The sequence below is a fragment of the Homo sapiens genome, chromosome 5 (genome assembly GCF_000001405.40).
Source record: "Homo sapiens chromosome 5, GRCh38.p14 Primary Assembly".
NCBI lineage: Eukaryota > Metazoa > Chordata > Mammalia > Primates > Hominidae > Homo > Homo sapiens.
Window position 1 is genome coordinate 139,261,039 of NC_000005.10, and position 11,860 is coordinate 139,272,898.

The 11,860-nt window shown below is 44.3% G+C and overlaps 2 annotated features.

Moving 5' to 3' along the window:
* Window positions 1,617-1,686: an enhancer, noted in NCBI's record as "active region_23217". NCBI's record gives its function as "activates an Ori minimal core promoter by ATAC-STARR-seq in GM12878 lymphoblastoid cells {active_cell/tissue: GM12878}" and the evidence as "EXISTENCE:reporter gene assay evidence [ECO:0000049][PMID:35858748]".
* Window positions 7,708-7,757: a silencer, noted in NCBI's record as "silent region_16406". NCBI's record gives its function as "represses an Ori minimal core promoter by ATAC-STARR-seq in GM12878 lymphoblastoid cells {active_cell/tissue: GM12878}" and the evidence as "EXISTENCE:reporter gene assay evidence [ECO:0000049][PMID:35858748]".

Here is an 11,860-nt window from a genome sequence, read left to right on the forward strand (position 1 = left end):
TCTCCCACATCCAACTGGGAGCTCCTTGAGGACAAGGACCTACCTTATTCCTTGCTTAGCCCAGAGTCTAGTAGGCTCTTTATGAATAATTGTTGAATTAGTGAGTGAACCAAGCATTCCCTGTCTTCACAGCACATACTCAGGCACTGCTGCAGCTTCTACCACCATCATTCTCATAGTTACTGTTCCAGATCATAGGTGACTGATTGTCTGGGTGTTCTTCTCTTTATGGACTGGGATTGCACCTTTAATGTTTGTACCCCTAATACTTTTTTTTTTTAGACAGAGTCTCGCTCTGTTGCCTAGGCTGGAGTGCAGTGGCACAATCTTGGCTCGGCTCACTGCAACCTCAGCCTCCCAGGTTCAAGCGATTCTCCTGCCTCAGCCTCCCAAGTAGCTGAGACCACAGGTGCATGCCACCACACCTGGCTAATTTTTTGTATTTTTAGTAGAGACGGGGTTTCACCATGTTAGCCAGGATGGTCTCGATCTCCTGACCTTGTGATCTGCCCACCTCGGCCTCCCAAAGTGCTGGGATTACAGGCGTGAGCCACCACGCCCAGCCCTGTGCCCCTAATACTTAATACAGTGCTCAACATTCATCTTTCCATCCCCCACTCATTATTTTTTAACAATTATTTCTTGAGTATCTACTGTGTGCTAGATATGGTGGGTATAGCAGTGAACAAGGTAGACAGGGCCCTGCCCTCAAGCTCACATTTTAGTGGCAAACAGTGAGTGCTCAGTGAACAGGAGGCTCAGTGGACCTCAGCCCTACTGGGAAGCCTCTGGAGTATTTCCTGTCAGGAGCTACAAAGCAGGGAGTACAGGTTCTGTGGGGGGAGAGTAGATTTTCTTGGTGACCTCTGGACCTCTCTTTGTCCAGGTCTCCTTGGGACTGGCCATCAGGTATCAGCAGCAGGGAGGGAAGAAATGAGGAAGGGAGAGAGAGGCAAGTATAGACAAGGTCTGAGTCCCTAAAGACAGGGAATTGTGTGTGGCTCAATGCCCATGGCCACTTTGCCGAGGCAGTTTGGTAATCAGCTTTCTTTCCTACACTGGAGCAGAAGAAAGAAATAGAGCCACACAGTGAAAGACGTAAAAGGATAGAAATGATAGAGGAAAAAGGAAGGAGAGAAAAAATGGAACAGAGAGGAGGAGGAGCATAAGGAGAGGGAGTAAGATTGAGGCACAGAAACAAGGCCTGCAGGACTGAGCCCTGCCTGCGTCATTGGCGGTCAGCTCTGGGGTATAGCTCTTCATTTGGGTCATCAGGGGAAAAAAAATATTCAATTTTGAACCCTTGGAATTCCCTAGATGCTTTCAGTAGCCCACTGATCCCTCAAGTTGTCTTTGGCTCCATCTGGCCATCCCAGGAGGCTCCCGCCAGGGACCTGCCAGCCCCCAGACCAAGATATAGTCATTGTGGACCCTCTCAAGCAAAGGGCAAGTGAAGGAAAAACAGCCTGTCTGAGAACAGCAGCCACTGGTTTTCTTCGTTTAAAAAAATTTTTTTTAGTGCTTATATAATTGCAGAAACCACTGATTTTTATCTTTCTCAGAAAAGACCCTGTGTTCACCATCTGTTTCCTGACTAGGGGCTTCAGGCCCTACTCTCTGAGACACTGGCCTAACAGTATCCTAATCTGTAGGCACAGAGCAGAAACTTCCCTGAGCTGGGAGCTGGGGAGGCAGGGCTCCCAGATGCCAAGCCGCAGTCTGAGTTCCTTACAGTGATGCTGCTCTTTCTAGAAACCTCAGCTGCTCGCTCCTGAGGCTGGGATGCCATCTGCTGCTCAGCTTAGGAAACTGGCTGATGGGCTGCACAGCCAAGGCTGAGTCTGGTGGGGGCTGGGCAAGAGGCCCGCCCTGGGTCTCAGGAGAGCCATGTTTTTTGTTTCTGGATAAATCCAGTACTGGCCTTCCGGGACAGAGCAAATAGTCTGTCCTCAGTCATTCTTCTTAGACTAGACAAGATGCCTCTCTTCGACAAGAAGAGACCTAGGGATTTTAGGGGGATGGGTGGGTCTGCTCTGCCCTTCGCAAAGTTCAGTGTCATCTCAAGGTTAAATTACCGAGAGAGGTCCAGGCTGCCTCTGAAGTTCTATAGATTTCCTCAAAGGGTTTATTTTTGTCTTTTCTTTTCTTTTGCTTTTTTTTTTTTTTAATTTGCAGGTTTAACTAAGATTATTACAAGTTGAGTTAATTGGCTGAATGAAATAATGAGGCCAGGCCTAGAGGAAGTGGGGCTTTGAAGAAAAAAGCATGCTCATGCAGAATTGAAATAAAATCTTCAGACTCTCAGCAGTTTTTGAAGCCCCTGCTCTTTGGACTGTCCTCGTTCAGGCTCCAACCCAGATAGGGTTGGGAACTCTAGTATTTTAGGGGCCACATATTTGTTGGTATTTCTTGAAGAAATGGTTATTCTGAGGAAATTTTCTACAAGCCAGTGTGGTAACCAGCCTCCAGGATGATCCATCCCCAATGCTGTCCATGTACTGATATTCATGCACTTGTAAATCCCCTCTCCCATATGGTACCAGGGTTTGTCTGTGTGACCAATAGAATATGACAGAAGTAATCATATGTAACATACAAGATTAGGTTATAAAAGACACTGTGGCTTCTTTCTTGGTCACTCTGTCATCTGATCACTCACTCTGGGGCAAGCCAGTTGCCATGTAGTGAACAGTGCTGTGGAAGGTCATGTGATAAGGAACTAGGCCTTCTATCAACAGCCAAGTGAGCCATCTTGGTAGCAGATCCTCTGGCCCTCATCAGGGCCTCAGATGACTGCAGCCCTAGTGGACGGCTTGACTACAACCTCATGAGTGACCCTGAGCCAGCTTAGCTGAGCTGCTCCCCAATCCTGACCCCCAGAAACTGTATGAAATAAACATTTGTTACTTTAAGTTCTTGAAGTTTTGGGATAATTTGTTTTGCAGCAACATAATAAATTTGTTGTATGGTATTATTATTATATCATGGTATATCATCTGCATTATATCACTTCTTTTCCTTATAAAGTCTGGTGTCTGGACTCCACCCCCTTAATCTCTCTAACCTCATCTCTTACCACCCTGCCTCCCCGCCGGCTTAGTCTCACCCTTGGCTCAGTCTGCCACAGACCCGTTGAATTTGCTTTTCTCTCTGATGGAACTCCCTCCCACTCAACCAACCCCAAAATCTCTGCATGGTAACTTCTTTATCTCCTTCAAGTCTTCATTCAAATGTCACCTCCTCAGTATAGCCTGTCTTGACACTCTTCACTCCTTGTATAGTAACTCCTACATCTTCCTTTTTTTTCGCTACTGTATTCTTAGCCCTTATAGTTATATAACATGTAATAAAATATCTTTTACATATTTATCTTGTAATTTCTGTCTTCCTCCACTAGAATGTAAGCTCCATGAAGGCAAGAATTTGTGTTTTTGTCTATTTTAGTTAATGTTCTATTCTTAGCATCTGGAATGGTGACAAGCATATGGGAGATATGCAATATATTTAGTTGAATGGGAAAAAAATGAATGTCATAATTTGCCATTTATATCTTCTAGATTCCATGTTATATATCATATGCCATAGTATGATAGTTGACATATATGTTGTATTTAAATGCAGTACAAGGCAGTGCAGATACAAGGGCCATAAATAAGAAGATCCAGCCAGGCATGGTGGCTCACGCCTGTAATCCCGGCACTTTGGGAGGCCGAGGCAGGCAGATCACTTGAGGTCAGGAGTTCGAGACCAGCCTGGTCAACATGGTGAAACCCCGTCTCTACTAAAAATACAAAAATTACCTGGGCATGGTGGTGGGTGCCTAAATACCAGCTACTAGGGAGGCTGAGGCAGGAGAATAGCTTGAACCCAGGAGGTGGAGGTTGCAGTGAGCTAAGATCACACCACTGCACGCCAGCTTGGGGGACAGAGCCAGCCTATGTCTCCAAAAAAAAAAAAAAAAGGAGACCCAGACTTGTTGCTTGTTGGCCAGCTATGTGACCATGAGCCAGGCATGTAACCTCTCTGGGTCTGTTTTACTCGTCTGTAAAGCAAGACTAATATAACTTCCTTGTCTTATCATAGAGTAGTTGTAGGGATCAAATAAGATGACAAATGTTACAGCATTTTTAAAGAGTCTAACACATGATGTAAGTGTTTCTGAAATGTGTTCCAAAGACCAGTTATCCCAGGGTATGAAGAAAAAGAAAGGTCAAAGAGGTTTGCAAAATGTGAGTTCCCATATTCTAACTCCTGCTGGACATTCGCAACTCACATTAGCACATGACAGGCTCTGAAAATCCTGCACATAAATATCTACTCCCAGTGCACCTAACTATACATTGGGAAAACTTGCTCTATACAAATACAGAGCATTATCTTTATTATCAGAATAGTACTGTTAGTTTATAATTTATTATTTTTTTTTGAGACAAAGTCTTTTGCTGTCACCCAGGCTGGAGTGCAGTGGCACAATCTTGGCTCACTGCAACCTCCGCCTCCCAAGTTCAAGAGATTCTCATGCCTCAGCCTCCCGATTAGCTGGGATTACAGGAGCCTGCGACCACGCCCAGCTAATTTTTGTATTTTTAGTAGAGACAGAGACATGTTTTCACCACGTTGGCCAGGCTGGTCTCAAACTCCTGACCTCAGGTGATCTGCCCACCTCAGTCTCCCAGAGTGCTGGGATTACAGGCATGAACCATCACGCTCGGCCTATTGTTACTTTAGATCAAGAAGGAGTGCTAACGTTCTTGGAACAGAAATTCCAGTGGGTTGGGCAATGAGATCCAGCAGCTGAAATGGAGATTGGAGGAGGGAAGAAGGAGGAGGAGAAAATAGAAAAGGAGGTGGCACAAGAGAGGAAGAAAGGAAAAGAAGAGCAAGGAAAATAAGAAGAAGAAACAAAAATGGTGGTGAAGGGAGAAAAGGACAACTAAACTAATCCCCTTTGCAAATAACTGTAGAAAAAAGGCAGGTCTGGCACGGTGGCTCACGCCTGTAATCCCAGCACTTTGGGAGGCCAAGGTGGGCAGATCACCTGAGGTTGGGAGCTCGAGACCAGCCTGACCATCACGGAGAAACCCCATCTCTACTAAAAATACAAAATTAGCCAGGTGTGGTAGCGCATGCCTGTAATCCCAGCTACTTGGGAGGCTGAGGCAGGAGAATTGCTTAAACCTGGGAGGCAGAGGTTGCCATGAGCCGAGATCACACCATTGTACTCCAGCCTGGGCAACGAAAGCGAAACTCCATCTCAAAAATAAATAAATAAATAAATAAATAAAGGCAGCCTGAGATCTCCTACGGATGGGGTGGGAGAGAGAATCCTAGAATCCTAGCGCTGCCTGCCGAGCCCTGCTTGTTCCTTTAAGTGTGACCTCTGCCAATTTCCGCAGTTGGAGCTCAGGCTTCCTTTTCAACTTCGAGGAATCTCTGATTGAAGATATTTCTTCCTTTTTTTTTTTTTTTTTTTTTTGCACTTGGTTGTTTTATTTCCTCAAAAAAAAATTAAATCGATATTTCTTCCTTATCAGAGAGGAGGAATCAGGTAAAACAAATCAGCAATTTCTTTCTTTTTTTTTTTCGAGACGGAGTCTCGCTCTGTTGCCCAGGCTGGAGTGCAAAGGCGCGATCTCTGCTCACCGCAAGCTCTGCCTCCCTGGTTCACGCCATTCTCCTGCCTCAGCCTCCTGAGTAGCTGGGACTACAGGCACGCGCCACCTCGCCCGGCTAAGTTTTTGTATTTTTAGTAGAGACGGGATTTCACCGTGTTAGCCAGGATGGTCTCGATCTCCTGACCTCGTGATCCGCCCACCTTGGCCTCCCAAAGTGCTGGGATTACAGGCGTCAGCCACCGCGCCCGGCCTCCAAATCAGCAATTTCTTAATTTAGTGTACTTATTAAGTGCCTGAAATGGCAGCTGCCATTTTTTTCCTTTCCTTTTGAGCAATAAGCCTTGGAAGCACGCCTGGCTTGGAAAAGGAAGAGGACCAGCAATTCCTCCTGAAAGGATTCCTTAGGCTAAGTGGGACATGAAGAGGCCATCAGGTTTATTCTTGACCTCCAGGTAGGCCTGCCCTGGGCCAGCCAAAACAGATGCTCTTAGAAAAGGAGATTTTGCAGCTCTCTCAGGCATCCACTTATATTTCTAGCCCTCATGGTGAGGAAGTCCTTTGTTATATCTCATTTCAGTCTTTTTCCTATAATTTCGGGGTTTTTTTTTTTGCCTTTCTCTTATCCCAGAATAAGACAGTGATCTGTCATAAGTTGCATGCATAGTGCAATGTATAGTAAACAATATAGAAACAACCCATTTCTCTGGTCGTATAATTGGTGAATATCACTTGAGACTCCTCATTTCCAGTCAATTGGGAGACTAGGCTTTATATTTATTTATCTATTTATCTTTATATCTCTACTTACTTATTTATTTAAATAAATAGAGACGAGGTCTCACTGTGTTGCCCAGGTTGGTTATTTATTTATTTTAAATTGTGGGATTCAAGTGTAGGATAGGGAAGTAATGGAAAGGAAGCAACATGCATTGAGTACCTGCCTGATCTCTTATATATGACATCTCATTTAATCCTCACGACAGCTCTAAAATATAGAGATTACTATTCCCATTTTATAGGTGATGGAACTGAGGCCAGAGGTCATGTACCTAAAAGTCAAACAGCTAACATGTAAGTGGTGGAGTCAGAATCAAATCCACATCTGACTCCTAGGTTCATGTTCTCTCTACCCAGGGAGCTTGTATATATCACACAGAAACCTAGGTCTTTAGTTTCCTTACATTGCTGTGAGATATTTGGTTTATTGTCCAATAAACATGCTGAGGTTCTGGCTATTTTACATGCCTATTTACTATTTGGTAAACTTAGCACCACAAAGATGCAAGTAACTCCATCAAGTGGATGCCTGAGAGAGCAGCAGAATCTCCTTTTCTTAAAGTATCTGTTTGAGCTGGGCCAGGGCAGGCCTACCTGGAGGCTTTCCTGTGACCAAATCTGAACTCACTCTACCTGATGTCCATTGTAATCTCCATAAAGGTAAGGACTATGTCTGTTTTATTTATCATTGTATCCCTCCTAGAGCCTAGCACAGGGCCTGCCACATGGCAGATACTCAATATTGGTTCAATGAATGAATGATGAAGTCAGACAAAGACTCTAAAAACAAGGTAAGAGAACCAACCTGACAAAGATTTAAAAGGGTCAATGTTTAGTTTAAAGAAGAAGCAAAGAAGAAGAGAGGTAGCCAGGAAAAGAACGAGAGACAGCAAGATAAGAAAACTCAGCACAAACAAGCAAGATAAAAATAGCCTCTCACCACCACTGTCCTTTTAAAATTACTTTCTATATTTGAGCTTAAGCGACAAGTGAAATCTCCTCTGTAATTTCCCATGTGTTCAGTTTAATGAATTTCCGGCAAATGGTTTCAGTATTGGAGGGCCAATTTGGACATTGTGGGGGTGGGGCTGGTGAGAAAATGAGGGGTATGGAAATAGACTAACAAATTGAGCTAGAAACCAAATGAAGAGGTGATTGAAGGCATGTGAGGAAGGAACCAAGTCCTGGAACTTGTTCAACTCCAAGAAGGACTGGGAATTGATCTTACTCTAGCTGGTGTCACGATGATGTTTCCCTTCATGCTGTAGAGGGAGCCCACAGTCCCAGGCTGCCTGGCAACTATGCTTTGTATCACATTGCCTATTGTCTAAAGAGCTTTGTTTGTTTAAACAGAAGGCAATATGTTAATAACAATTTCAAACATTAGAGGGAATAAATAGACTGTGGCTCTTTCAGGTCCCACATGCCTTCTACATAGCAGGTATGCCATACATGTTAAACTGAGTCACAGTGAGGGGGTTGAGTTATGGAAGAAAAGCATGGGAATGCCCAGTCCACCCCTTTGCATCTGTGCTGCTGGCCAAATGTCTTCAGTTTTTCCATAGATAGAGAACAGAGCTCTGAGAGGCCACAGGACTCAGAATACAAAGTCCTTTTTATTTTAGTCCTTAAAATTGACAATGACAGGCCGGATGTGGTGGCTCATGTCTTAATCCCAGCTCTTTGGGAGGCTGAGGCGGGCAGATCACTTGAGCCCAGGAGTTGGAGACCAGCCTGGACAACATGGTGTAACCTGGTCTCTACAAAAAATACAAAAATTAGCTGAGCATGGTGGTGCACACCGGTAATCCCAGCTACTCGGGAGGCTGAGGCAAGAGAATCGCTTGAACCCAGGAGGCAGAGGTTGCAGTGATCATGCCACTGCACTCCAGCCTGGGTGACAGAGTGAGTGAGACTCCACTTCAAAAAAAAAATTGACAGTGACCATGCAGCCCACAATTACAAGCAGAATTACAGATTTTTTTCAGGCTCTCAAGTATGCTGCTTTCTTTTATAACTGTGTGTGTGTGTGTTTATTTTATTTTATTTTATTTTATTTTATTTTATTTTATTTTATTTTATTTTGAGACGGAGTCTCACTCCGTTGCCCAGGCTGGAGTGCAGTGGCGTGATATTGGCTCACTGCAAGCTCTGCCTCCCGGGTTCACACCATTCTCCTGCCTCAGCCTCTAGAGTAACTGCGACTACAGGCACCTGCCACCACACCTGGCTAATTTTTTGTATTTTTAGTAGAGATGGGGTTTCACTGTGTTAGCCAGAATGGTCTCAATCTCCTGACCTCCCAAAGTACTGGGATTACAGGCGTGAGCCACCGCACCCGGCCGTATTTTGTTTTATTTTATTTATTTATTTTTTAATACATAGAGACAGAGTCTTGCTATGTTGTCCAGGCTGGTCTTGTGCTCCTGGGCTCAAGTGATCCTCCCACCTCAGCCTCCCAAAATGCTGGGATTACAGGAGTGAGCCACCATACCCGGCCCCACATGCTTTTCATTGTTGTTATTTAAACAGTTTTATTGAGATATAATTCACACACCCTAAAACCTACACATTTAAGGAGTGCAATTCAATGGTTTTTATTATAGTCACAGCTACGTGCAACCATTGTCACAATTTCAGAACATTTTCATCACATCAAAAAGAAACTCCAAGCCCCTTAGCTATCACCTTGTCCCCCACTCAACCCTAAGCCACCCCAATCTACTTCCTGTCTCTACAGATTTTCCTATTCTGGACTTTCATATGAACGGGATCAAACGATATGTGACATTTTGTGACTAGCTTCTTTATCTTAATGTTTTCTTTTCTTTCTTTTTTTTTTAGATGGAGTCTCGCTCTGTTGCCCAGGCTGGAGTGCAGTGGCACAATCTCGGCTCACTGCAAGCTCCGCCTCCTGGGTTCACGCCATTCTCCTGCCTCAGCCTTCTGAGTAGCTGGGACTACAGGCTCCTGCCACCATGCCTGGCTAATTTTTTCTATTTTTCAGTAGAGACGGGATTTCACTGTGTTAGCCAGGATGGTCTCGATCTCTGGACCTTGTGATCCACCCGCCTCGGCCTCCCAAAGTGCTGGGATTACAGGCGTGAGCCACTGCACCCTGCCTATCTTAATGTTTTCAAGGTTCATCTATGTTATAGCATGAATCAGTACATGATTCATTTTTTTCTTTTTTTCTTTTGAGACAGAGTCTTGCTCTGTTGCCAGGCTGAAGTGCAGTGGCTCCATCTCTGCTTGCTACAATCTCCGCCTCCCGGGTTCAAGCCGTTCTCCTGCCTCAGCCTCCCAAGTAGCTGGGACTACATGCACAAGCCACCACACCCAGCTAATATTTTGTATTTTTAGTAGAGATGGGGTTTCACCATGTTGGCCAGGCTGGTCTCAAACTCCTGACCTCAAGTGATCCGCCTGCCTCAGCCTGCCAAAGTGCTAGGATTACAGGTGTGAGCCATCACGCCTGGCCTCTTTTTTTTTTTTTTTTTTTTTTGAGACAGAGTTTCACTGTCACTCAGGCTGGAGTGCAATGGCATGATCACAGCTCACTGCAGCCTCAATCTCCCAGGCTTAAGCAATCCTCTCACCTTAGCCCCCTAAAGTAGCTGGGACTACAGTTGTGTATCACCATGCCCACCTAATTTTTTTATTTTTTGTAGAGATGGGGTCCCATCTCTATGTTGCCCAGGCTGGTCTTGAACTCCTGGGCTCAAGCAATCCTCTTGCCTTAGCCTCTTCAAAGTGCTGGGATTACAGGATTAATTCCCTTTTATGGCCAAGTAATAGTCCATTGTGTGGATATGCCACATTTTGTTTATCCATTCATCAAGTAATGAACGTTTGGTTTTGGAGGGCTATTATGAATAATGCTGCTGTAAACATTTCTGTATAGGCTTTTGTGTGACGGGCTTTAATTTCTCTTGGGTACATACCTAGGACTGGAATTGCTGAGTCATAAAGTAACTCTGTGTTTAATCATTTGAGGAACTGCCAGACGGTTTTCCAAAGCAGCTGCACCATTTTACATTCCCACCAGCAGTGTATGAGGGTTCCAATTTCTCCACATCCTTGCCAATCCAACTATGCTTTTGAGAAATAACAAGGACAACTGAAGAGCCCCACTCTAATTGGGTAGCTAGTACATAGCAGCAAGAGGAGTGCAGGGATGGAGGAGGGGTCCCTCCTCTACTCTAAGCCCTTAGGATCAGCCAGAGAGAATACAGCTATCTCTAGTACTCTTCCTGACCCCCTAGGCTATGTTAGCTGCCCCCAGACATGTGACCAAGTATACATATAGTACTTGTCATTCTTCTCCTCTAGACTGTAAGCTTTAGGCAGGCAGGAATCTCTATTGTTCTGACTTTATCTGCAGCATCTGAACAGAGTCTGGCACATGATAGATGTTTCGTAAATGTTGATTGACTGAGTGACTGACTAACTGAACAAATGACTAGATATTTCTCTACTGGTGGTTTTTCTCCCTGTTCAGGGAGAAAGAAAAAGAGCAGTCTTAGAGGCAGAAAGCATCAAGGAGGGAAGCAGGAATGAGAGGAGAGATGGAGGATAAAGAGAAAGGCAGGGAAGAAGCTTGGGGACCTGGTGTCACTTGAGGTCAGCTTTAAGTTATGAGGTCAAACTCAGAGCTAATGGACTTCCCCTAGTCCTTTGCTTTCCATCTAGCTGCATCTTTTTTTCTAGAAATGTTCCCTTTTATTTTTTGTTATTATTCTCAATAATTTTGTCTTTGCAAGAAGAAACAAAAAAGTAGAAAAATAGTTGATATTACAGGTAAAAAAAACATAAATCAACCCATCAAAATTAATTCAGAATTTAAAAGGATGGAAGTCAAAAAGGTTGACTATGAAGGATTTTTAAGTTGGAAACAAAATCTTCATCTAGGTTTTTCTCCAAAGGTCATTGAAAGACCTATAGCCCAAAAAGTTGACCACTTGTTCAACAGGACATGAAAATATGGCTTACCTCACAGCCTTATTTATAATGGCTGGCCTTCCACATAAATCCTGCCTTCTACCTGGACTAATCTGAATCCAGTCATCACCAGATTATTGGTCCCTCTCTCCCCAAAGGTCTGCATAGCTCCCTGTCCTCAGTTACTTCTTGTCTCTTCTCTGAAAGCACACATGCACATTCACACACACACATACACACACACACACACACACACACACACACCCTATCTTTCCTTTTCATGAATCTTCAGGGTAGCTCTGCCCTCTCCACTTTGTGTGTTTGGAAGGAAAGAAAGCGAAATATATGAGATGCCAATGCAATTTCTCCTTTAGCAGAGCTCGGTAGGACAATTACCCACCCAATCTGCCTGGTTTTATAGCTCTCATAACCTTCCTTTATGAACACGCTGTGACAGCCGGATGTGGGCATTGATTATGGCAGCAGTCTTCAGCCACATTCCTATTTAACTGCAAAGCAGAGCTCCT